At 37.6% G+C, this 25,505-nt stretch overlaps 1 protein-coding gene across 14 annotated transcripts in view, besides 1 other annotated feature; it reads right to left on the reverse strand.

Moving 5' to 3' along the window:
- Window positions 1-25,505, reverse strand: part of SGMS1 (sphingomyelin synthase 1) — a 319,585-nt gene that overhangs the window by 72,357 nt on the left and 221,723 nt on the right. The window contains exon 1 of one of the 14 annotated variants that reach the window (XM_047424978.1): window positions 1-25,505. This exon is cut by the window's right edge and continues 13,375 nt beyond it. The exons of the other annotated variants lie outside the window; for them this stretch is intronic. The gene's annotated coding sequence lies outside the window, so the exon portion shown is untranslated. 14 annotated transcript variants of the gene reach the window in all.
- Window positions 13,041-13,567: an enhancer, noted in NCBI's record as "NANOG hESC enhancer chr10:52150757-52151283 (GRCh37/hg19 assembly coordinates)". NCBI's record gives its function as "activates a minimal SCP1, AML or CMV promoter by ChIP-STARR-seq in naive H9 embryonic stem cells {active_cell/tissue: H9 hESC(naive)}" and the evidence as "EXISTENCE:reporter gene assay evidence [ECO:0000049][PMID:30033119]".

Raw genomic sequence — 25,505 nt, forward strand, 5'->3', positions numbered from 1 at the left:
CTGGATAATGCAGGATAAGCTCCTCTTCTCAAGAGCCTTAATCACATGTTTTGCTTCAAAATGTTTACTCCTAATAACCAAGATATCCAAATGCCAGCTCTTGAAATATTTTCAGTGATTTTGCTTCTACCTTGGATTTTTTAGGAGCCATAATTCAAGAGCAGTGTATCTTCTTTTAAAACCTTAGATCTGTATTTATACATTTCACTTGCAGCTTTTACACTAGCCTGTTTCCTGGAAAAGTCTTTCACACTTGATTAATGGAGCCATCTCCTTCTTTTTACTGATTCCTCTTCAAATTCCTTCTTTACGGCAGAGCAACCCAAACAAAACAACTCTTTTTAAACTAAGGGCATACCAGAGAGAGATGGGAAGACAGAAAGAAACAGACTACAATTCACTCATGTTTTGTTTAAGTTTTAGAACCTATGGCTAAAAATTTTAACTTTGATTGCATTCTATAAAGCATCTAACCTGAAAAATGTAGATTCTTCAGCAGATCATAAACAGAGACTGAGACAAATGAGTCCTAAAGTCTGTCCTAGGCAAAGTTTCTTCATTCACAGCCAACTACAGCAGTAAAATTTAAAATGTTTTCAGAACCACTCAAAGGCATTATTCATACACTAATTTGTAACTTCTATTCAAGTACCCCAAACTCATATATATATAGTAAGATATAAAACCTTCGGTGGATTAGTATAGCACTTAGCACAGAATAGGCTTTGAAAAAATATTTGCTGAATGAATAAGTGGATTTTTTAAGTGGGATTAATCACTACTAGTGTCTAGTGAATAGGAGTACTTTCTCTTAATTGATATCTTAGTACCTACCTGATGTTTACTATCCATTTTTAAGGAATATCAAAACAGTGTCCACAAAAATGACAGGACAATGCACTGAGCTTGGGGTTACTACATTATTCTCAAATGAGTAGGGAGGTTTTTTCTTCCTAAAACCCATATCGTATTGAACATCTACTATTAAAGCACTATGTATTCCTGATAGTGTAGGGGAAAAAGGAGCACAGGCTAAGGCAGAATATATGGAATAAAATATGCCAAAAGTATGAAATAGTAGACAAGTACAAATAACATATGCTCAGATTAAATAAGAGCAAAAATTAGTTAAGACTGTCATAACCTTTATGACAGTCATAGGGCAATGTGACATTATTTACCAAAATGTATAATATACTTTAAGCCCCAGGAATTCCATCTCTTACTTACAGATATATTAAAAATGAGTCAAGATGTGTGTTCAAAAGTGCAGCCCTATTTATGTAACACAATTTCCAAAAGCACCTAAATATCCTTCACTGTGGTTTGGATAAATAAATTTGATGCCTCCTCACAACAGAATACCATGTGGTCATTTCAAAGAATGTGGTATATCTGTACATACCAACATATCTGTGACGTAGAAATACATATTAATTGAAAAATGTATTTATCATTCACATATATGTGGGCATATACATTTATATATATATATATATATGTGCACGTGTATGTAAGCATAAAACATCTAGAAACATATACATACAGAGGCTACGGAGGGACAGGGATAGAGAATTGGAGAGGGTCAGGGAATTTCAATTGTTTATACATGATTTATAAATAATAATTACATATCATTCTATGCTTTCAAAAAACTAAAGATTACAGAGAGAGTAGGAGGAAAGACCAAAAAGAGAGAAAAGAAGAAGGGTTTCCTAAGAATTCTCAAGTCCAGGACTTACATATACATTTTAAAATATATGCAGCAATTGTGACACAGCCACCAAGGCCAGGCAGTCATGGAATTCACCTTCTCTTGCAGTCATATTTTCTAGAGATTTCTACTCCCACCCCTCTTTGGGAACCCATGTTGCTTGGGACCTGCCCCAAACTTCCTGGCAACGGCAGTTCTGGCAAGAGCAACAGGAAAGAAAAACAGAAGAGAACAGAGCTCTTTTGCCCATCTCAAGGCCTGAAGCTTGAGTAAGTGACAAAATTACCAGCAGACTGAGCATTATTCAGAAAGACTCACCCAACCAGGACCTATATCTCGGTCACCAAAATAAAACTTCCTTTTTCTATCTAAGATCTGAATCAAAAAATGGGACAGGCTGAAATATAGACTTTTAAAAATCCTCCCTTGGCTGGGCACAGTGGCTCATATCTGTAATCCCAGCACTCTGGGAGGCTGAGGTGGGCGGATCACCTGAGGTCAGATGTTTGAGACCAGCCTGGCCAACACAGTAAAACCCTGTCTCTAATAGAAATACAAAAATTAGCCAGACATGGTGGTATGTGCCTGTAGCCCCAGCTACCTGGGAGGCTGAGGCAGGAGAATCGCTTGAGCCCAGGAGGCAGAGGTTACAGTGAACTGAGAGTGCCACTGCACTCCAGCCTGGGCAACACAGTAAGACTCTGTATCAAAAAAAAAAAAAAAAATTCCTCTCTCCTTTCTAATGTTGCAAGCTGTAAAAATAACACCAGCAGAAGAATACAATCATAGGGATGGCGCTACCCAGGTCTGGAGTATGTTCCTAGAAACCCAGATTAGAAAGAGACGTGGGCTTTCTCAGTTCCCCCAGGTCCTCAAGTTCCTCCTCAGCCCATTAGCAGAATCAGTACAGAAACGTCCATGCCACTGCCTACCTGGCTTCGTCCTGCTGCCAGCGGAGTGCCAAAGCTATGGAATGAGGTGTGGGCTACTGAAAGACCATTCAGAACCTGTTCCCCAAATATTACTTGTACACCAATTTGCTACCTCTTCATACCACCTATAATATTATTTACTTAATACTGTTCTTTAAACTAGCTCACACTCTCTTTTTTTAACTAAGTCTTGTTCTAAGGAACAATATCTGTGAAAACAGGTATTTGATGGCATTTTTCTTTTTGAGACAGAATCTTACTATGTTGACCAGGCTGCGGTGCAGTGGTGCAATCACAGCTCACTGTAGCAGTGACCTCTTGGGGCCCAAATGATCCTCCCATCTCAGCCTCCTGAGTAGCTGGGACCACAAGCATGTGCCACCACACCTGGCTTTTTTTTTTTTTTTTCCCAGAGATGGGATCTCACTGTTACCCAGGCTACTCTTGAACTCCTGCACTCAAGTGATCCTCCTGTCTCAGCCTCCCAAATTGCTGAGATTACAAGTGTGAGCCACCATGCCTAGCCTTGATGGCTGTTAAAGAAAACAAACAAACAAACAAACAAATACTAATGAACATTAAAACAAATATATAACCAGGAATTTAAAAAGGGTTTGCCTGAGTCCCATGGTATATGAAAAAGTGATCGTGAACAGTGTTCTAAAAGAAAAAAAAAAAGAAGAAGAAGAAAAAAAAAATCCGTAACATTCTGGAAAAATGATCTGAGGTGCAAGCAAAAGCACTGTAAACAAACTTTGGGAGCACTGCCTACACAAAAGCATGGTTCTGCCACCCATGACTACAGCATCTTTTGTCTTTAGCTAAAAAAGCAGTTGGAGTAAATAAATGGAGAAAGGAGATGAGAAAAAAAAATCCTTTCGTGAATTTTCTCTATCACTATTATTCAGTTTTCTTTAGATCCAATTGCTTTTGGCCTTAGGGATGTCTTTTTGTTCTGAGTCCAAGTATTTAACAGACAACTTCAGTTTGAGATGATGAAAATGATGATTCTACAACAATATGAAAAATGATTAAAATGGTAAGTTTTTGTGTATTTTGCCAGATTTTAAAAATTAACATTAATAAAAGCCAACCACACTCAGCAAATGAGCTAAGGAGAATCTAGAGAAGTTGCCCACAGTGGGCTTGGGCAGGCTCGAAGGGTGGCCTGGCACAGCCTATGTAGCAGGTCAGCCTTTATCCCTTGACCTTCTCTATCTGTTACCACTCAGGGGGTTTAACTGTGGTGTGGAAGGAAAAATAGGGCGGTCCAAGAAAGAATGAAATCATAACCAGCTGGCTGGCTAAACGTCAGTATCTTTTTGCTGCCAAGTTTGAAAAAGGAGAAAGTGGCACTCTGGGTCTCTTTCTAGCTGTAAAATGCAGGGTGGAAGGTGAGTTGTCTTTTCCTTTCCTTTCAATACATTTTTCTGAGACTATTGAGGTTGAAACTATTAGATAAAACTAGATGGTTAGAGTATATCTTGATATACACATATATCTCTTTTATATTAGGCAAGTTTTACATGGTAGTAACCTTAGAAATTAAGAATTGGGATTACATTTAATTGACAGCTGACCTGTGAGTTTCAGTTGGTATCAGCTAATCTAAGGGGGAAAAGAAGAACTCCCATATACAATAGGAAATTAAACAAATCAGTGCCCTTAGAAGCAATCCCATACAATTGTAAAGTATCTTCTTGGAAAATGTTCAAGGATATAGAAAATGCATGATCATGATTTTGTGACATCTATATCACAGATATATATTCATAGAAAATAAGAATTTAGGTCTACATACAAAACTGATACAAGTTACCCCTGGTGACTTAACAATTCTGCATATTTTCTCACAGGCAAATATTTCTTATAATGAATAGCTACTATTTTTATAATCAATAAAAAGCTATAAAGACTTTTCAAAGGTGGAGACCCTTCAAGAAAACACACACACAAACACACACATACACACACACACACACACACACACAACTTCCCCACTCCATTCTGACCAAAAAAAAAACACACACACACAAACATTCATCCTCTATTATAAACAGCAATGGAGAGGAGGGACCCAGCGAGCTGACAGACTAAATTTAGCCGACAGATCTAAGTTACAGCTCCTCTCAAAAACCATCCCTGAAATAGTCCTGGTCTTATGAAATTGAATTTCATACGACTGTCACTCTGGGCTTCATTTAATGAGCTTCTAGTTTTATCAAATGGCCACAGGAATTACGTATTATTAAAAATAGCACCACACTATGCTAGCTGATCCAATGTCTTGGCAAACAGCAACTTGTTTTCTGCATTTTCATGAAATGCCTCACACATGTAAATCAAAATAACAAAGGTCAAAGTTTGTAAAGTCTTTAGAAGGAAGTTATTAACTTCAGGAGTCATAAACTCTACAATAGAGTCTTAAGAAGAAGTAAAAAAGTTTTTTTAAAGGAAGAAACGTATACTGAAGTCTTTTAATTGAAAAGACTTTATAAGATTATCAAATTATCTCGGCAAAAATTTTGGGTTAGTGTATTGTACCTATTTTACAGATGAAGACATGGAGGCTCAGAAAGTAAGTGATTTTAAATTAGATCTTTGTACTACATTTCTAATGATATCACATAGAAGAATTATGCAGAATTTATCATTAAATTGTTTACAGATGAATAGAGCCGAAAGATCCGTTTCTTCAAGTTTAAAAAGATTTCCATTGTAATTATATTTTATCAGTATTTAAAAATACTGCAGGATTTTCTTTTAAACGTGTATTCTTCTTTTGGGTTTAAAGTCTGAAAACAATCTACATATCTTTTCAAACTATCAATCTTTTAATAATATAAAACAAAAAGATGGCTTTCTTATCTTTTGAATTAAACAGTATAAGCATCGCTTGTACAGGAAAGTTTGGAAAAGGTGGGCAGCAGAAAAAGAGATAAACATGACCTTTATAATCTGGAGACCCAGGATGTAGAAATTTTTTTTTAATTACAACACTTAATAATGACTAGTTTCATTTTCCTTGGTTAAACAAAAAACTTTGATTTGTATACTTTCTCATGTGTTGTTTTAAATTGCCTTAATTCTCTATAAATATTGCTCTATTTACACACACACATATAATCTATATATCCTATATTATTAAGATATATCCATTGCTTTTCTTCAATAGGCACAAAGATGCCATTTTTTCAGTATAAAATAAAGACTATGTAATAGAAAGGGGCTTTGGCTCAGGGCTAGGGCTATGTTTAGTAATATTTAAAACGAGGTAGCTATAAAGCATAGCAGTTAATGTGGTGCTATACACTGAATATAGACCTTTTGGGGATAATTAGATCATGATAGCAGAGCCATCATGAATGGGATCAGTGCCCTTATAAAGGAGACCCTAGAGGACTTCTTCAACCCTTCTGCCACATGAGAGTACAGTGAGAAGACAGCTGTCCAGGAGAAGGAGGGAATCAGCTAGCACCTGGATCATGGACTTTCTAGCCTCCAGAACTCTGAGAAACAAATTTCAATTGTTTATACGCCACCCAGTCTATGGTGTTTTGTTATAGAAGACGGAATGAACTAAGACACATGGGCCTTGGAATCTCCAAGACTATTAAGATTTTTTCTTCCTTCACTCACTAATGATTACCATTTGTATGATCTTGAGTAAGTTATCTAACATTTGAGCCTTTTGTTTCTTTATCCTAAAATGAAAATAAATAATATCAACCTCAGATAGATTTTTAAACTTTTTCTAACTTACTTTCTTTCTCTCTTTCTTTTTCTCTCTCTCTCTCTCCTTTCCTTCCTTCTTTCTCCTTTCCCTCTTCCTCCCTCTTTCCTCTCTTTCTCTCCTTCCTTCCTTCCTTCCCTCCTTCCCTCCATCCCTGCTTGCCTTCCTTTCTCTTTTCTTTTCTCTGAAATGCAAGTGGTGCAATCACAGCTCAGCAGTCTCCCACCTCAGCCTCTGGAGTGTTGGGGACTACAGGTGTGTGCCACCATGCCAGGTTATTTTTAATTTTATTTTTGTAGAGAAGAGTTCTCACTCTGTTGCCCAGCCTGGTCTCGAACTTCTGGGCTCAAACAATCCTCTTGCCTCAGCCTCCCAAAGTGCTGTTATTACTGTCATGACCCACTGTGCCCGGCCTACTTTCTATTTTGAAATAATTTTAGGTTTAAAGAGAAGCTGCAATAGTACAAAAAACTGAGGCATACCCTTCACCCAGAGTCCTTTATATTATCAACTTAGATGAGGATAGTACAATGATCAAAACCAAGGAATTAACATGGTTAGAATTCTGTTAACTAAATGACATATCTTCTTTTTAATTTCACAAATTTCCCCTCTAATAGCCTTTTCTCTGTTCCCACAATTATTTAGTGTCCCCTTAGTCTCTGCTAATACGTGGCAGTTCCTCAATCTTTCTTCACCTTTCATGACCCTGACAGTTGAAGGGTGCTAGTTTTTTTTTACCGAATATCTCCAGTTTGGGTTTCTCTGATGTTTTCTCTTGATTAAATTGAGGTTATGCATTTTTGGCAAGAATGCCCCAGAAGTAATGTTGTGTTCCACTCTGATCATATCAAAGAACAGAAGCTATCCATCTGCCCCATTACTGGTAACACTAACTTTGATCCATTGTTTAAGTTAGTAACCTCAGAGAGTTGTTTTTTTACAGGTCCTAGAAAACAGTAGGTCTTCAATAAATGGCAGCTATTATTATGGTAAAGTTCAGACTAAGAACAAGTTTTGAATCAGGTAGACTTGGATTCCAGTTCTCACTCTCCCAGTTTCTGCCATGTGATCATGGGAAAGGTTTTTAACTTCCCTAGTCCTCTTTCCTTCAGTGTACCACAAAAACAAAGCTACCTGAAAAGTTACAAAGTTTTAATCAAGTTACCATAAAGGTTAAATGAAATAACATATGTAAAAGTACTCAGTACCTATGTTTTATAAGTGCTCCATGAAATCAATCACTGTTCTTTTAAGCGAGTTGTCATGTTCTGCGAAATAATCACTATGAACTAAGATAAAGGAACCTGAGATCTGATTACAAAAAAAAAGGTGACTTAGGGGCATGCTGGGAGTAGGAGAGGAAGATGTCAGATGAGCTAGGAAGGCATGGGAGAACCTTGGCCGTGTGACAGCCAATGGCATGTCTCTCTTGTTTCATTTTATTTTTTCCTTGGATAAACAAGTTTTGCAATTAGAGCTTGAGAACACAAAAGGCATTCATGCTTGATTTCTAGCACATTAACCAGATGATGCAAGAGCCGAACCCCTGTTATGTGCTGTGAAGGGCTCTGTCTCACTTGTTCTCTCCTGTAAAACTACTATCCTCTGCTTGCTAGACCCTCTTGTGGGGCTTTTTAGGCTATGACATAGGACATCAAAAATTTTTCTTCTGCAGCTGTCTTTGCTGTTGTACTTGAGTTTAGATTATCAGATGGCAATTCTGCGATGCCTAACACATGGTAGTTATGTTATGAAATAATCCCGCCTTTTAAAATAGAAATCTAACACTGAAGAAACTGGAAAATAAATGTGAAACTAACCCTAGAGGGGTCTTAAGAGGCAAGTCAAAATTGTAAAGACTTCTCCATCAGTCTGCATGAAGAATTATAAAACTAATTATTGTGTCGCAGCCTTTCTGGATTTAACCTCAACTTTGGAAACACATGCCACTACTTACAAGAGTATAGTAACATTTACTGCACTGCAGGATGGAATGCATTACTTCATATAGCTTAGACGGTAATTTACAAAAGCATTATAGCATCCTTATGGGTTGAAGTAATTAGAAAATCAGTATGTGATGCCATAGCTTTTTCTACAGGATACTGTCATTACTAGCTAAGCTCTTCAGCGTCCACACCTTAAAGACTAGGAAGTTAAACAGCTTCCTATGTCCTCTCAATGCCTAAGTGGGAACCTGTATGCTGCTAAAATAAAACGCATGTGTAGTTCTCTGAACAAACCAATGTGACAGATGGAGCTTCATGCTCTGGCTCCTAGGCTAGGAAGGGGACCACAGGCCCAGGTGACGTCTAAGTTGCTATGAGGATTACTGAATTTTCAGAGGCCCAAATTGCCTAGCAGGTTAAGCAGAGAATTGAACAGGGGCCAAGAGTCCCAAGTTCTCTTCTCAGCACACCCCTGCCCCACCTGTGAGATGGAGGGGAGGAAACATCAATTCCCCACTGTCCTGCTCTGCCTAGCAAGGAGGGTGATGATAATAGCTAACACGTACTGAAAGCCTACTATGACCCGAGCTTTTTAAAAGTATAAGCTCACTAAATTCAAAGCAATTCTACAAAAAGGGATAAATGAATATCTATTGACAGGTGAGGAACCTAGGTACTCAAGGTTCCTGGTACTCAAGGTCAAATGGTACCAAGCAACCTGGTACTCAAGGTCAAGTGCCCTACAAAGGGTCACATGTTGAGCGGAGGAGTCCCAACAATAGGCTCCAAAGCCTGTGTGCTCCCCAACTGAGTAGTGCACCTCCAACTGGGGATACCATCGATGATGCTGATAGAAGATTCTGGAATGTGTTTTCAGTTCCTTAAAATGAGTTACCACACCTGGAGACAAATGCTGCCTAAAGGGGGAAATCCATGTAGTTTCACTTTCCTTAACCATTAAGGCAAAGTTATAAAAGCATTCCTTGGGGGTTCTTTCAGAGACTTCCCCTGCTCACTCCCTATCCCAGGTCAAAAAGCCTTCCACAAACACATACACCCACTTCCTCCAAAACTTCCACCATGGAGGGAGCTATTAGAAAAATCAAAGATCCGATTTATATGTGTTTGTGTGGATTTAATTACCTTACGCTATCTCTTTTTTCAAAAAGGACTTTCCCTCTTTATCGAAAAGGCAATATTCTCCCTGTAAGAAGATTCAGGCAATACAGAAATACAGAAAGTTAAATACATAGACAGACAGATAAACAGACACCGCAAGCCAAGCCTCCTCCATCTTATCTTTCAGAGATAACCAGTGCTAACAGGTATATATCCTTCAGGACAAATCTAATTGTCAAATGAAAAAAGCAAGGCGGCAGATTCATAGGTATTGTATATGCTAAAAGAAAATCCTTAGCTAAATTAAATTTAACAGAGGTTAATTGAGCAAAGAACGATTCATGAATCAAGCAGCCTCCCAAGCCACGGTAGGCTCAGAGACTCCAGCACAGCCACATGGTGGAAGATTTATAGAGAGAAAAAGGAAAGTGATGTACAGAAAGTGGAAGTGAGGTACAGAAACAGCTGGAGTGGTTACAGCTTAGTGTTTGCCTTATTTGAATACAGTTTGAACAATTGGCCCCCTTTGATTGACCAAAAATTGGTGATTGGCACAAGAGTAGGTTACAGTCTGTTTACACCTGCATTTAGGTACAGTTCACTATATACAGAGAAACCTTTACACTGAACTTAAAATATTTAAGGAGGCAGCTTTAGACTAAACTTGATTTAACATATGCTACCATTTGTGTAAGAGAGGGAAGGAAGGAGATATGTACATATTTGGTAATAAAAACATACAATATCACTTGAAGGCTTTGAAAGCAACATCCACTATCTCCAGGAAGTAGACCTGGATGGCAAGGGTGGGAGGTACACTTGACATTATGTATCTTTTCATGCCATTTGAATTTTGAACCATGTGAATTTGTTATGTACTCAAAATGTTAACAATTTAATTAAATATTTAAACAAAGCAAATGTACTCCTTAAAAGCCCAAAAGAGGCTGGGTATGGTGGCTCATGCCTGTAATCCCAGCACTTTGGGAAGAAGAAGTGGACAGATCACTTGAGGCCAGAAGTTCAAGAGCAGCCTGGTCAATATTGCAAAACCCTGTCTCTACTAAAAAAAAAAAAAAAAAAAAAAAATTTGCCAGGCATGATGGTGGGTGCCTGTAATCCTAGATACTCAGGAGGCAGAGGCTGCAGCGAGCTAAGTTCGCACCACTGCACTCCAGCCTGGGCGACAGAGCGAGACTGTCTCAAAAAGAAATAAAACAAAAAACAAAAACAGAAGTCCAAAAGAGTGCCTCACATATAGCGAGCGCTTGATATGTACTGTAGAATAAATGGAAAAAGTGGGCCTATATATTTTAACATAATTGGAATTACACTACTTAGATGGCACATGCTGTTTTAAATAACCTACTACATAAAACAATAATAAAACAAAACACCTGATTATTAAGATGAAAAGGCATCCATGATCAGTTCTTAGATAGGAATGATATAAACTAAGAGTGAAATAAGATTTTGGATGTCATCTAGCAACCGGCAAACAAGTCTAGAGCGCCGATGTACAATATGAGGATGATAGGTAATAAAATCATACTGTATATGGGATTCTTACTAAATGAGTAAATTTTTAGCTCCTTTTGCCACAAAAACAAAAATTGAGTAACATATGAAATGATAGTTTCACTATAGTAATTGTTTTACTATCTATATGTAGCCTATAACATCATGTCATATACCTTAAATATATACAATGAAATTTATTTTAAAAAATATCAACTGTCTTCCTGAATATTTTCTCCCAAGAATACTATGGGTAGAGGTCAAAAACAGCCACCTGAATGTCTAGGTGCATCATCCCAAGGGGCTCTAATAAAAGGTGCAGTTTTTTATGTTTATAGTTTACCTTAAAACTACATGTAAATTTTGTGCTTTGCTCTAATAATATAGTCATGGCTGTACTAATATAAAAACCAATCTTTGCCTAAATCTTTAAAAAATATATGCTGTATTTAGCAAGTTACCTCATACTTCTTGGCTTACCACCTTGTATCTGGGGGGAGGTCAAGTACCCAATGTGAAAGTCGCAGGTTCTAGTTAAAGCCTCAAATTATACACAGACTGGGGCCATCAAATCAAAGTGTTTTACTTAAGATCACAAGGCACACACCAGCAAGGCTGAGACTAGGCTATGAGAGCAACTTCCCAGTGAAATAAAAATATTCCACTTTGCTATTTTCTCCTCTTCCTGGCCATCCCCACATGCACACAGCCACTAAAATAAAGGCCTCTGATGTCTCATCAGGCTCTACCAATTTCCATTTATGAAAAGGTTCTTTGGTAGCCCCCTGACCATAACTGGCTAATTCAGCCTAGCTATGCCCACAAAACATAAAATCTCCAACAAGTCCCAAATCTCATTAGACTTTCTATGAAGCTTTTTGTTTGTACAAAAATAAATAAATAAATAAACTGTTCCTAAGCAATTTAGGAATCATTTTGCCTGTATTATTTATAAACGTTTAGTGTACTAATTGAAGATTTGTTTTATTTGTTAAAACCAGAACTTTGGTTTCACAACATTTAGTTAACCAATGACTTTGAATACTTTACGTGTTTGAAAACAGCACTGCCTATTGTTGAAAATATTCCATAATACCCATTACTCCTGATTTTAGCTGGTGTTCCTTTACTTTTTCCAAAGCAACTTCATATTTGAAATTATATTAACCTATTTTATATAAATAATTCATTGAATAATAACCGATGGTTAAAATATCTGCAATGAAATTATGTTCAATTATTATTCAAACTATTCGGTACTACAAATACATGTAACGTCACTAAATCAAATGCATAAATCATGTTTTAGGAAATACACCTGCAGCAGACAAGACATTTGAGCAGGAAATCAATTTTAACTGATGTTTCTCTTTGGGAGAAACAAAGTACACAAATGTTTAGATTGCTGGTATAGAAATTTATTTTCTTTTATGCTTTACTGAATAAAGCTGAACTTTGTTTTATTTGTTAAAACTAGAACTTTGGTTTTGAATAAAGCATAAACCCTGAAGCATTACTCTATTCCCCAGAGGAATTTAAGTCAATAGAATGTTCATGTCAGCTGGGCGTGGTAGCACACACCTGTAGTCTGTAGTCCTAGCTCTGTGGAAGGCTGGAACAGGAGGATGGCTTGAACCCAGGAGTTGGAAGCTGCAGTGAGCTGTGATCGTGCCACTGCACTCCTGCCTAGGTAATGGAACAAGACCCTGCCTCTTAAGAAAAAAAAATTAATATCTAACAATTAGAATGTTCATGTCTAGATACTTTAAAAATCTTTTTTGGAATTACTCCCTTTGAAAGAAATTGGGCAATTAAGTGCTTGAACCAAAATGTCTACAAGGATAGAGGAATCTGAGAACAATTTCTTTACTGTATCAAGTATCTTGAGTCTCCAGGAAAAATTCCAGACACTTTAGGCTCAAATAAATTCCACTCTGTCACAAAAGTCACCAGCATACCCAAATAAAAATCCCTGGTAATGGTCACAGCCTGGGTCTGGGGTAGCAGTGGAGAGGTAGAAACCAAAGTCATAGCGGAGAGAGGGTAATGTCAGGAATAAAACGGCTCCAAGAGGGGCTATGCACTCTGCCCTGGCCTTGTCCTGGAATAGGATGCCAAGAAGCGTGTAGTTTGCCCGAGCATCTCCAAGACCTGGTCAGAGGTATTGAGAATTTTCCAAACAAAAGACAAAACTTTGAAGAAACAAATATAAAGAACAAGGCACATTTCCATTTCAAAACCATTCCAAAGCAACTCAAAACACATTTAAAAGAGAAAGGACTTCTAGTCTAGGAGACCACAGACCTAAAATCAAGTCATTAACTAATCCCCTCTCATCTTCCACTTTTCTCTGACTTAACTGGGAGGAATTTAATACTTTTCCTTACTTGCAGTGCTGTTGTGGGACTTGAACATGATAACTTACATGGAAACTTTTAAAAGCTGAATTTTTTTTAAAAGAAGACACACATGCAGCCAATAAGCATATGGAAAAATGCTCAGCATTGCCAATCATTAGAGAAATGCAAATCAAAGCCACAATAATACCATCTCACACTAGTCAGAATGGCTATTATTAAAAAGCCAAAAGTAACAGATACTGGCAAGATTGTGGAGAAAAGGGAACACTTACACACCGCTGGTGGGAATGTAAATTAGTTCAACTATTGTGGAAAGCAGTTTGGTGATTTCTCGAAGAACGTAAAACAGAATTACCATTAGACCTAGTAATCCCATTATTGGGTATTTACCCAAAGGAATATAAATTGTTCTATCATAAAGAATGTGCACATGTATGTTCATCATAGCACTATTCACAATGGCAAAGATGTGGAACCAACCTAAATGTCCATCAATGATAGACGGGATAAGGAAAATGTGGTGTATATATATGCCATGGAACATTATGCAATCATTAAAAAAAAAAAAAAAAAAGAATGAGATCATGTCCTTTGCAGCAACATGGATGGAGCTGGAGGTCATTATCGTAAGTGAAGTAATGCAGGAGCAGAAAACCAAATAGTGCATGCTCTCACTTATAAGTGGAAGCTAAACACTGAGTACACACGGACAGAAAGAAGGGAACAACAGACACCAGGGCCTACTTGAGGGTGGAGGGTGGGAGGAAGGTCAGGCTTGAAAAACTACCTGTCGAGTACTATACTTATTACCTGGTTGATGAAATGGTCTGTACGCCAAATCCCCATGACACGCAATTTACCTATATAACAAACCTGCACATGTACTCTGAACCTAAAGTAAAAGTTAAAAAAAAAAAAACTGAAATGTTGCACAAATAAATTATTACTGTACTCAAAAGATGGCAAACTTATAAATGATTAATTTGTAATGTCAAAAGTTTTCTGTCTATGTAATTAGAAAAACAAAATAGAATCTAGCTATATCCATTTAGAGAGTCTTAATCAAAGCCATGGTTTCTTTATGGGTTTAAAAAATAATAAACATCATCATGACTTAGATTTGAGTCCATTTCTTCTAAACATAGTATACAAGTGCACAGTCTTTCACCTAACTGTACAAGGTCGCGAGGTAGCAGTGATACCTCTGGGTTCTACTGGTGACTAGGTTCTACTGAGACGTGAACTGCATACCAGCAGAGCTGTCTTCCTCAGGATCCATGAAGACCAGCCCAGCAAGCGCCATGCAAAGGACAACACTACCAGAAAGTGTACCTTCATAACATCACCAGGGCACAGTCCAAGTGTTATTTCAGAAACAAGAGAAAGAAAAGTCAACAGACAAAAGGTAAATAATTGAAAAACGAACATGACAACAAAGTATGGGAGTGAAATGGTATGATGTCTGGGATTTGTCTTAAAATACTGCCCCTCTTTCCCCAGAACTAAGTAGGGGAAAGGGAGAGAGAGAACAAGAATCCAGAAAGTTGATTGTTAATGCTGGGAGATACGGATATGGAGTTCATTCTACTATTCACTTTACATTCTGTGTTTTTTTAAACTGCCATAATAAATTATCTTTAACTTGAAATTTAATCTGGTATGAACCCAATTTGGTTAAAAAATAATACAAACATAAAGCATCCAGAAAGTTTTTTTTTTTTAATGAACCAAAAAATTTATGTTGGGTGGTGGGATGAAATTAAAGAATAAGTCAACTGACTTCACAAAACTGCTGAGCAGAGGAGCCACTATTTACAGCAAGCAGCTCTTCCCACCAAGTCTCACACATACACCAACATTTACTGGGGCCACCATCTTATTAATAATCTACCCATGCATACAGCATTCCTTGAACAAAGTGGGACCTAACCCTGAAAGGGCACCCAAATATTACCCACGTTACACTCTCTATGGGAGGGCTTTATCCACTAGCCCTTTCCTCAAAGAAAGAAAAATACGTCCAATTTCTCAGACTAAAGAAACCAGGTCAAGTCAACAGGAGAAGAGAAAGGAAAGGCAAAAAGATCCAACCCTGACGCACAAGAATGACTCACATTAGACCGATGATAAAAACCAAAGAAGCACAAATCACTGCCTGTCACTTAACGGGAAGATACCTGCTAAAGCTTTACTCTGTATTTTCTCAACCTCTCCTTATTTCCTTACTAGATCCAAAGGCATACAAGACAAGCAGGAAATATATAAGGAACTCCATTATGGCAGATAAGGAGGCACGTCAGGCAATGACACACCATTCCTAGTAACTCCATTTCATAAAGGCACTGATCTGTCACCCACTGATCCCCAGGGCTGATTAAAGGCAATGAGTTCTGAGACCAATTACTAGAGGTATCTACAGAGACTGTGGACCATTTCTGAAACCTGTCCCACAAAAAGACAAAAGATTTTCTTGGCAAAATATTTCTATATTATTAATAGTAAAAACAACCAAGATTCAGGTGATAGCAGCTTTGGCTGATCAGGACAACTTAAAAGATTTTGCAGATGAGCTGGCAAAGGTCCAAGCCCCAACCAAGGGGATTCTTCGATCGTGCAAGTCCTAGGGACACTGTGCTCAGTTTATCTTCCTAGGACAAGGTACTCATTACCCAAATGTTCAGACTCCTGACCTTTGCCAAGTGAGTCATATATCCTATCTCTATATAGATACCACAAAAGGAGTGGAAAAAACTGCCATACAAGCCAATTCCCTAGGCTGAAGGCAGAAATTACTTAAATCCCATTCTGACATCTTTCTGCTTTGAGTTTTAAGAGAAGTTTTCTTTAAAACAACTAGTCTGTTCCTATCTTACAGATAATGTGACTCTTGTGATGTTTTCCTTTGGCCACCAGGAATCCCTGAGCCAAATGTTACAGGCCAAATCTAGCAACTGGATTGAACTTAAAGATTCAGTGATGATATCTGAAGAGTCTTAGCGTTTGTGTCGTGTTTCCTAAAACAAAGACTCCATCATAAGCCATGTGAATTCCTACTTCAGGACGGACAAGAGTCAGAAGTGGTAATACAGGGAATGGCATAAGTGATTTTCCCTTGACACTACAGATGCGTTCTGAACCATATTTTATGACACCTGACAAAGCAGAATTTGTCAAGCCTTGTTTAAGAGTCCCAGTTGGAGCACCCAGTTGGAAACCCCATTTGCCATTCAATTACCCATAACTGTCAATAGTGTTGATTTTACAATGTGTGGTTTTGAAATAGATCTGCACAAATTCTGGTGCCAGGCACCAAGAAATGGAAATCAAAATAAATCTGAGGTTATATGAAATAAATATGCAATAGCAAAAACAAGTTTTTTAAATAACTGCCTTTGCCTTTTGTTTTAATTCATCTAACTTAATTTCAGGGGCAGAAAAACAAGTCAAGTTTACAATGACTTTCAGGCTGTTAGACCCTAATACTCTAAGTTGTTTTTTTCCAGGATTTTGCTTTTCATTCAACAACAAATTGTTTAGCAACTAATAACTGGTCTGAATTCTTTCTGCCTATCTAAAAAGTAAAAATATGGAAGTTGATGACTATGATTAAGCTTTTTAAAGTAATGAACCAGATTAACAAATCACTATACCATCACGAACTAATCATCATATACAGAATAATTTCATAATCTGCCCACTCCTTTTTGCTTTTACATAACAGGAAGAGCTTGGCAGGAGATCTCTGGCAATACTTTGCGTGAGCTCACATCTAACAAGCTTGTCCCTTTAACAAGAGCAACATCAAGCCCCTGAGGGTGATAAATCAATTTCCTGCCCTCTCTGATCATACTGATTTTGTGTGTGTGTGATTAGACACCTCCCCAAGAAAAAAAACACCTTCATGGTCGCTGTTATGATTAGTATATTGAATGTTTACAATTCTAGGTGCAACTCATAGTAAAAATCAAATCACACGAGTTGTTGGGATCCCTGTAATAAATAGCTCCTTCAAGCTATTAAGGAGCAGGTGTAGCATTTGACTACAGTTAAAGTGCTCTTAAACAATTCTACTTGACTCTCACACTGGATTAGTTACCCCTCACTCAGACATACTGATGCATGTGGATGATTAAGCAACTGCCCGCTGTCATTAGTATTAGCCAACCTAAGCTTGGCAACTCTGCTCCCATTAGTCAATATGCAATGCTTACCAAGACTCACTGTATTTGTCTCCAAACCTGCTTGTTTCCATTATTACATAATTTAAATAAATATTGAGTAATCAATGAAACTGGAGTCTGGAAAGAAAGTGAGCTGTTATTTCCACAAAACTAAATTGAATGCTTTAGAAAGACTTGATAAAGGTAAACAGTCTTACCAAAAGATTGCTGCAAAATTAGAGGTGGTTGAGACAACTTTAATATTCTTACGAGGAAAATGTAACTTAAAATGTGGAAGGATTCAGTATTGGGCTGCTTTGAAGTTTTGATGTTCCGGCATCACTTTAAAGAAATAAAGACTGGACATCGATGAAGGATTATGGGTGGGGCTTGTGCAGGAAAGACAAGAAATGGCACAAATCAGAGGACCCATATTCAAAAGAAAATTCCTTGACACTACATAAAACATTGAGAAATCCTAAACATTTCTGTTTCTAAAGTTAATAAAATGTTTATGGTGGGTATGTATACTGCTGAAAAAGTTATTTCCACCCTTAACCGATTCATCATTCATCTGAGGATCCCAATTCTACTGAAAGAGGAACTAAACCAAGGTCTGGACCCTCCAGTGCATTTCCTCCCTTTCCATGATGAAAAACGTTAACAAAACCAGAAGGGGAAAAGTTAGCCTTTGGTGAAATCTTGCCCTCCTTTTAGTGGCTGTCTCCTCAGGAGTCTTTGCTTCTCTGAGCCCTCAGGGTGGGGCTCCCAGTCCCACCCCTCTAGAGGTCCAAGCTTAAAGACTACCTCTTCTCCTCTCTTTACTTCCCACGTGCAGCCCCCATTATCTTAAGTCCAGGTATTCTCAGCTAGGAGTTGAGCAAAGCAAGGCAAAAGTCAACCCACACAGTAAGGTACATTTCTCTTCCCTAGGATGTTTTGCATTTCAGAAGGTCTATGTTCCACAACTGTAAATGCCTCCAGTTCAAGAGTATACAAAAGAGAAGTGAAAAAATTCAGGACCGTGGAAGGGGGGATATTTTGGAACTAGAGAGAGGAAGGAACATGTTAATCTTAAGACGAATTAGTTACAAATAGAAAGAATTAGACTAACTCCATCTGTTTTTGTTTGTTTGTTTGAGGAAGTGTTGACCTTTCCAAGCCAGTTTCCCTGTCTATAAAAATATGGATACCATCACCTGACTCACAGGATTAAATGAGATAATGAGCTGCAGAGTACCTAGTAGAGTCTAGGCACACAGCAGGTGCTCACCAATCATGGCTGCTTTTAGCAGTCTGTCTTCTCACATCCATCCCCACCCCACCCACAAGTGGCATTATTTTTCACATCTTCCTTCCCCCAATTTCTATACCCAAAGATTCTTTTAAAAGTAGCTAGGTCCCCTCCCCTCAATGCATCCCAACAGCGGCAGCCTCCAGTGTTCTGTTAAAAAGAAAGCTGTGTGGTGAACCGGCGGTGTTACTTGAAGATAAGCACTCCACCCTTCTGCACACTCTCAGGAGCTCAAGTACGGGACACTCAAAATGTGAATATCCGTTGGTTGATTTGTACTATCAAATTTACTCAAAATTAATGTGCAGTAAGATCAAAAGCAAAAAAAAAATGCTTCTTCTCTTTGCATGAGTACTCCCAACCCATTCTCTTCAAATGAATCATCATCTAAGATCTCTGATGTAGTTGCTAGATTTAGAGAACTTGTACATTCTTTGCAAATGGCAGATAACTGCCCTTGAGGAGATGGTTAGCAGCACTCTTAGACAGAGGACTCACTCAGTGTAGGGCACTCTGCAGGACCAGGTAGGATAGATACGTGGTCTCTGTGGGTGTCTAAGTTGTCACTCCCCAGTTCAAGGATCTAGAACCTCAAATCATACACATGCACAATAAAGCAAGATGAAGATGTTAAAGAGGACAGAAGAAACCAAGTATGGTTAGCTGGTCTTAGAAAGGAGACAGGCATGACACCAAAGCAGAGGAGAAGGCGTGCAAGGCAGATAAAGTCAGTTTGCTTTAGCAACATCCTGGCTACACACACAACTGATCACAGCTCACTCTCTCGCCGAGAGAGAAAATGCCTATGTTTAAAAGTTCTGAAGAACAAAGTGTCTGGGTTTATTTAGATGTCCACATCTCTTTGCCTCTGTGCATCTGAGTTATCTCTTCTGGATAAGCATCAGTTGCTATATATTGCTTTGGTTTTTCCTTTAGAAGACAAACACAAGTTGAGGAAGCTGCCTTTCCCGTTTGCCAATGATGATAAAATGCAACAGCTGTTACTTAAGCAACCATTTAGGTTTCAGAGGTATTGAAGATAAATCTGTTATTTCTTCTAAAGAAAAGCTTTTTCCTCTTGAGGTGTTAATTACTGATTTTAAATAAGTCACTAAAATCAAGTAAGTTATGTGACCTACGAAGGGCTGATGGTGACAGAATCTGCCTGAAATAGGTAGAGTGGCACCTAAGAACTCTGCCTCTAAGCCATTTCGCCGCTCTTCAGCATGTGACTTGGGAATGCCTTCTACTTATAGATACATTTCAAAAGGCTACACACAGAAAGTTTTCCGTCCCTGACTTTGTACTCTGGTGTGCTAAGATTTTAGTATATAGTTAATATCATTCTGCAAATTTTTTCTCTCAGTAATAAAGTGAGGCAGACAAGTTTGGTGGTTATTTTTCCACTCTCTCGGAGCTTCTTAAAAAGTAGAGGTCTTCAGAAAACAGTAATTATTCACGTGCAATGACAAAAAATAAATAAGCACACCATATAAAAACAATCAGGCTCTAAACAGATGTATAAATGCAGGGAGTAGACATCTAAAATACTTTCAGGAACTATCAGATGACTTCAAAATATGATCATATCATCAGATTTTGAAATATTAAATAATGAAATGAAATTATCCTAACCTTTAAAAAATATTAGCTTTTAATCCAAACTGGTTTATAAAGGCAATAAAATAATATTTTAAAAATTATTTTAATAGTACAGAGTTACTTAATCCAAAAGAATTGCAGAACGTTTGTAAGCAATTTGAAGCTAACAATACCGGTGTTGTAAGTTGGGATGTGATGTCATAAGTGAGAACTTTTCAGTGTTACTTCTCATGGGGGGAGGTTCTGGTAAGTTTTTGCTATATTTTGGTAGCAAGTCTTCTGAGAAATCAATGCATATTCAGTTCTCAATCAAACCAAGCCAAGAATAACAATTACTATCAAGCCACCACATGAAGAAATTAACCAAACAAGCTTAACAGTTCTCTTGTAATATGGCAAGTATTACCAAAGAAGCCTTATAAACAGAGAAGCAGTTTGTCTCTATGGAATGGAAAAAATATATATATTATTATTATTATTCAAGACAGTACCCTAATATAATAGACAGTTCTAGCTAGGAGTTGTATATAGGCCAAATTATTCAAAAGAGTAAGAAAAGAAATACTACTTATGGATATCAAATTCTTAAAAGTGACAGGTTATATGAAATGTCCAGGACCGGAAACACTTTAGAGACAGAAAGTAGATTAGTAGTTGCCTAGGGCTCGGTGTGGAAGTAGAGATTAAATGTAAAAAGATAAGAGAGGAATCTTATCTTTTAAGAACCGATGGAAATGTTCTAAAACTGGTTTATGGTGCTGGTTGTAGAACTCAGTAAATTTACTGAAAATCACTGAATTATATAGAAAATATACCGCAGTAAGTTGGTTTTTTAAATGACAAGGTGATCATTTGGACTTAGCATTTTAATTGGGACTGGGAGGTAACTAAGGAAGGATGTGCTCAAATTCCAAGTTTTGAGAATATTCATCCCTGTACCTTCTAATAATCTGAATTTCAAAACAGGAGATTATAGTACTTTCATACAATAAAAGGTATGCAACTATTGAAAATAATATAGAATATGCAACTATTGAAAATAATATAGAAAAAATATGACAACAATGTAAATGTCCATCAATGAAAGTGGTGCACTGAAATTATAGTACACCCATCCTACAGAAGTGGTGCAGTCCATATAAGCAGTCAGTTTAAGAATGTGTTAAATTATATACAATGACACATACAGAAATATTTCCAGGACATACTGAGTGAGAAAAAGTGCTTAGCAGAACAATGCACACAGGAGGATATATGAGAATGTGTATGAATTACCTATATATGTACAATGTGAATAACTGCATCTATATTTGGGAAGATATATACCAGATTGTTCATTATGCTTAGCTCTTGGAAGTAGAAAAGGGTCAGGGGGAGAGAACTTCCCATCAGAGTTCAAGGAAGGAGGCCAGGCACGGCGGCTCACACCTGTAATCCCAGCACTTTGGGAGGCCGAGGCAGGCGGATCACGAGGTCAGGAGATCGAGACCATTCTGGCTAACACGGTGAAACCCTGTCTCTACTAAAAATATAAAAAAATTAGCCAGGCATGGTGGTGGGCGCCTGTAGTCCCAGCCACTCGGGAGGCTGAGGCAGGAAAATGGCATGAACCTAGGAGGCAGAGCTTGCAGTGAGCCGGGATCGCGCCACTGCACTCCAGCCTGGGCGACACAGTGAGACTCCTTCTCAAAAAAAAAAAAAAAGAGTTCAAGGAAGGAATCTGGAAGTACGTGCGTGAGGTGCTAGGAATGGTTTTCACTGGTTAGATGGGTTTTACATGGTTGTTCATGTTCTTTTCATATATATTCAGTATAACTGTCTATACTTTCTAATGGAGAGGAAGGTTAGTACAGTTGTCAAAAGATTCTGGAGCCAGATGGCCTAGATTTAAAACCTAGCTCTTCTGTTTACTTGCTGTGAGACCTTGAATAAATTACTCACCCACTCTGTGATGCAGTTTTTTGCCTCTGCAAATTGAGGATAACAATAGCACCTACACCATAGCTTGTGAAGATCAACAAAATATAAACACAAGACCTATAGAACACATCCTGGCATATATATATATATATATATATATATATATATATATATATATATATATATATATATAGCTATTTTTTTTAAGAGACAAGGTTCTCGCTCTGTCACCCAGGCTGCAATGCAGTGGTATAATCACTGCTCACTTCAGCCTCGAACTCTTGGACTCAAGCAATCCTCCCACCTCAGCCTCCTGAGTAGCTGAGACTACAGCTATATACCACCTCGCCCAGCCAATTAAAAAAAAATTTTTTTACAGACAAGGTCTTGCTATGTTGCCCAGGTTGCTCACTATCTTATTAGTAAGAAGAAAATATGAAAGCAGCTTTATTTTTGTGAGGAAAAAGGTAAGAAGTACAAAACCACAAGTGCTGACTGTTCCTTTACTACCTGTTCAATATCAGTATGTGACCAGAATGTATCAGGCAATAATGAAAGTCTGGACAGTTGTCAGATCCTGTCTTATGGCCAATACTGATGTAACCAATTTCCCAATAGACCACATCAAGGCCGGAGGGTTCCTGGGCAGGAAGCTCCCAAGTGCCTCCACTCAACCAGGCAACTGCAATGCCTCAAGATGATGATAATTAGTGTGTGTGACCAGACCAATGGCAGAGACACAAACTGTTTGAAATAAACACTTATGCCTAGTAATTGACCTCAATGGGACTTGTGGCCTCATCTTGAGACATACGACGTAAACCAGGGTCAATTATCTGACACTTGAGCCAGCCATGGGAAAAATCATTAATTGTCACATTCTAATAATACACAGCAAATTTCTGCCTTGCTGAAAAACAGCAAGTTCTAAACTAGCCCCAATTTCCATACCTTATACTGTAATTATTTTATTAACCTTTGGTAGTCCTGAAAATATTTTTCAGTGGCCACCCTCTTAATCTGAACAATACTAGAAACTCTTTCTTTAAAAATAACACATTTGTTGAGTGATTACTATGTGCCAAATTTACCTATTCTTTAAAAACTCTTTGATGGAGACATTTTAATCTCCACTTGTGCAAATTAAGAATACTGAGGCTCGGAGAGAGTTTGTTCCTTACTGGGATCCCTCAGTGAGTGGCAACACTGGGAACCAAACACAGAAGCATTCATTTTCAAAGCCTCTGCTTTTCCACCCACAGGAGAAATCCCTCTAGTTTGATTCTCAGGTGGTTCACACTCTATTCCAACTATAAAGTACTCCTTCAAAAGGTCTATATGCCACCAAAACTTTACACCAACCAACCAGAAATACCCCCCACCAAAAGCTCCTGAAATTTTCTTAAGGGATACATGTTTTACATTTGTCACAATCAACATTAGGCTTCTATTTTTCATTTGCCTTCTTCAATGCCAACTGGTTTTCAACAAAGCACCAAGGTCTCACCCACAGATCTGTCCTCACTGAGGCTAAAAAAATCCAAGAAACACCTACTTTCAAACACTCATTTTTCAAAGTAGATTCCCTTGTCGTATTCATTTATGCTCCTGCACAAAATGTCAAAGACAAATTCACAAATGAATTTCTGTCACCTTACTTAGTCACCTTGATTTTTTAAGATTAAGCTAAAGATGCAAAAGATGGACCAAAGTGGTACAAAACTGTTGTACCCAAGAAATTATTTGTGAGCTTTCTGTTGACATTTTAAACATCTTCATTTTGTTAAAAAAATCTCCATTTACCTTTCATTTCAATATTCTGCCTAAAAAATTACCAAACTACAATAAATTTGTCTGGTCAAAAGCCTAATTAATGGCATCATCCATCAATTACTGCATCAGTCCGCATTGAAATGGATGCGTAATAAGCATCATGATCACTCAAAACAACAATGACTATTTCTCTAATGTTCTGAGGTTCAATTATTTTTGCATTGAATGCCACTGAACAGTAACAGAAGTCAAAGCTTAGCATTAGCTTTTTCAAAAATTAATCTATCTTCCTATTGTTGGCTTTTATTTCAGTAAATTCAAATTAATGGAGTCAATTGCCTCCATAAAACTATGAAGAATAAACAAAACCATTAGACATCTCAGGTCAAATGGCAAGAAAAAGGGGCCACGATCCTACTGGAAATTAAGATTTATTGACATTTTCAGGGTATAACATTACATGCCAAGCCAAGAAAATACTGCACAGTATTGCCCTTCATAGGATATCATTAAAAGACTTTCCATATGTATGAATAAGTATATAGATTATTTGAATTGTGAGGAAATCTTTAAAAACCTTCTCTGGAGATGTTTAATTAAACAAAGAACTAGTCAACTATTTTTCTAGGATTTAGGTTGAGTCATAGTTTACATAGTATGTAACAAGCCATTTGTATACTCAATTTTTGTTAACCAGAACCATTTTTTTTTTTTAATTTCAATAGCTTTAGAGGTAGAAGTGGTTTTTGGTTAGATGGATGATTTGTATAGTGAAGTCTGGGATATTAGCGTACCTGTCACCAGAGCAGTGTACCCTGTACCCCATAGGTAGTTTTTTATCCATTACCTTCCTCCCTTCTGAGTCTCCAATGTCCATTATACCACTCTGTACGTCCCTGTGTACCTATAATTTAGCTCCCACTTATATGTGAGAACATGCAGTATTTGGCTTTCCGTTCCTGAGTTACTCCACTTAGAATAATGGCCCCCAGTTCCACCCAAGTTGCTGCCAAAGACATTATGTTGTAACCAGAACCATTTTAAATGTTCGAAGAAGTTTGTTCTTTGAATAAATTTAGACAGAAATTCATTTTTGATCTATTATCTTAAAATCCGAAAAACATAGTTTTAATAACACTACTCACAAAAGAACAGACATGATTATTACTCACTGGCCAGTCTAGACAGAAAATTACGTAAATTCAAAGAAAGAAGAGTTTCAACTAACTAACAGTTGGCACAAGTACACGGTTCGCATGTTCAATGTTCCATAAAGTTTATGAGGTAAATAATATACTATTAGCTTAAACCCATCCCAGCTGTCAAGAGCCTGAGTAGAGGTTACGAAGATAAGAAATGAAAGTATTCTAGACTCTAGGGGTACATTTGTCAGGCATGCATATATCTAATTGACTAATGTGTTCCAAA

Source organism: Homo sapiens, chromosome 10 (assembly GCF_000001405.40).
Source record: "Homo sapiens chromosome 10, GRCh38.p14 Primary Assembly".
Taxonomy (NCBI): Eukaryota; Metazoa; Chordata; class Mammalia; order Primates; family Hominidae; genus Homo; species Homo sapiens.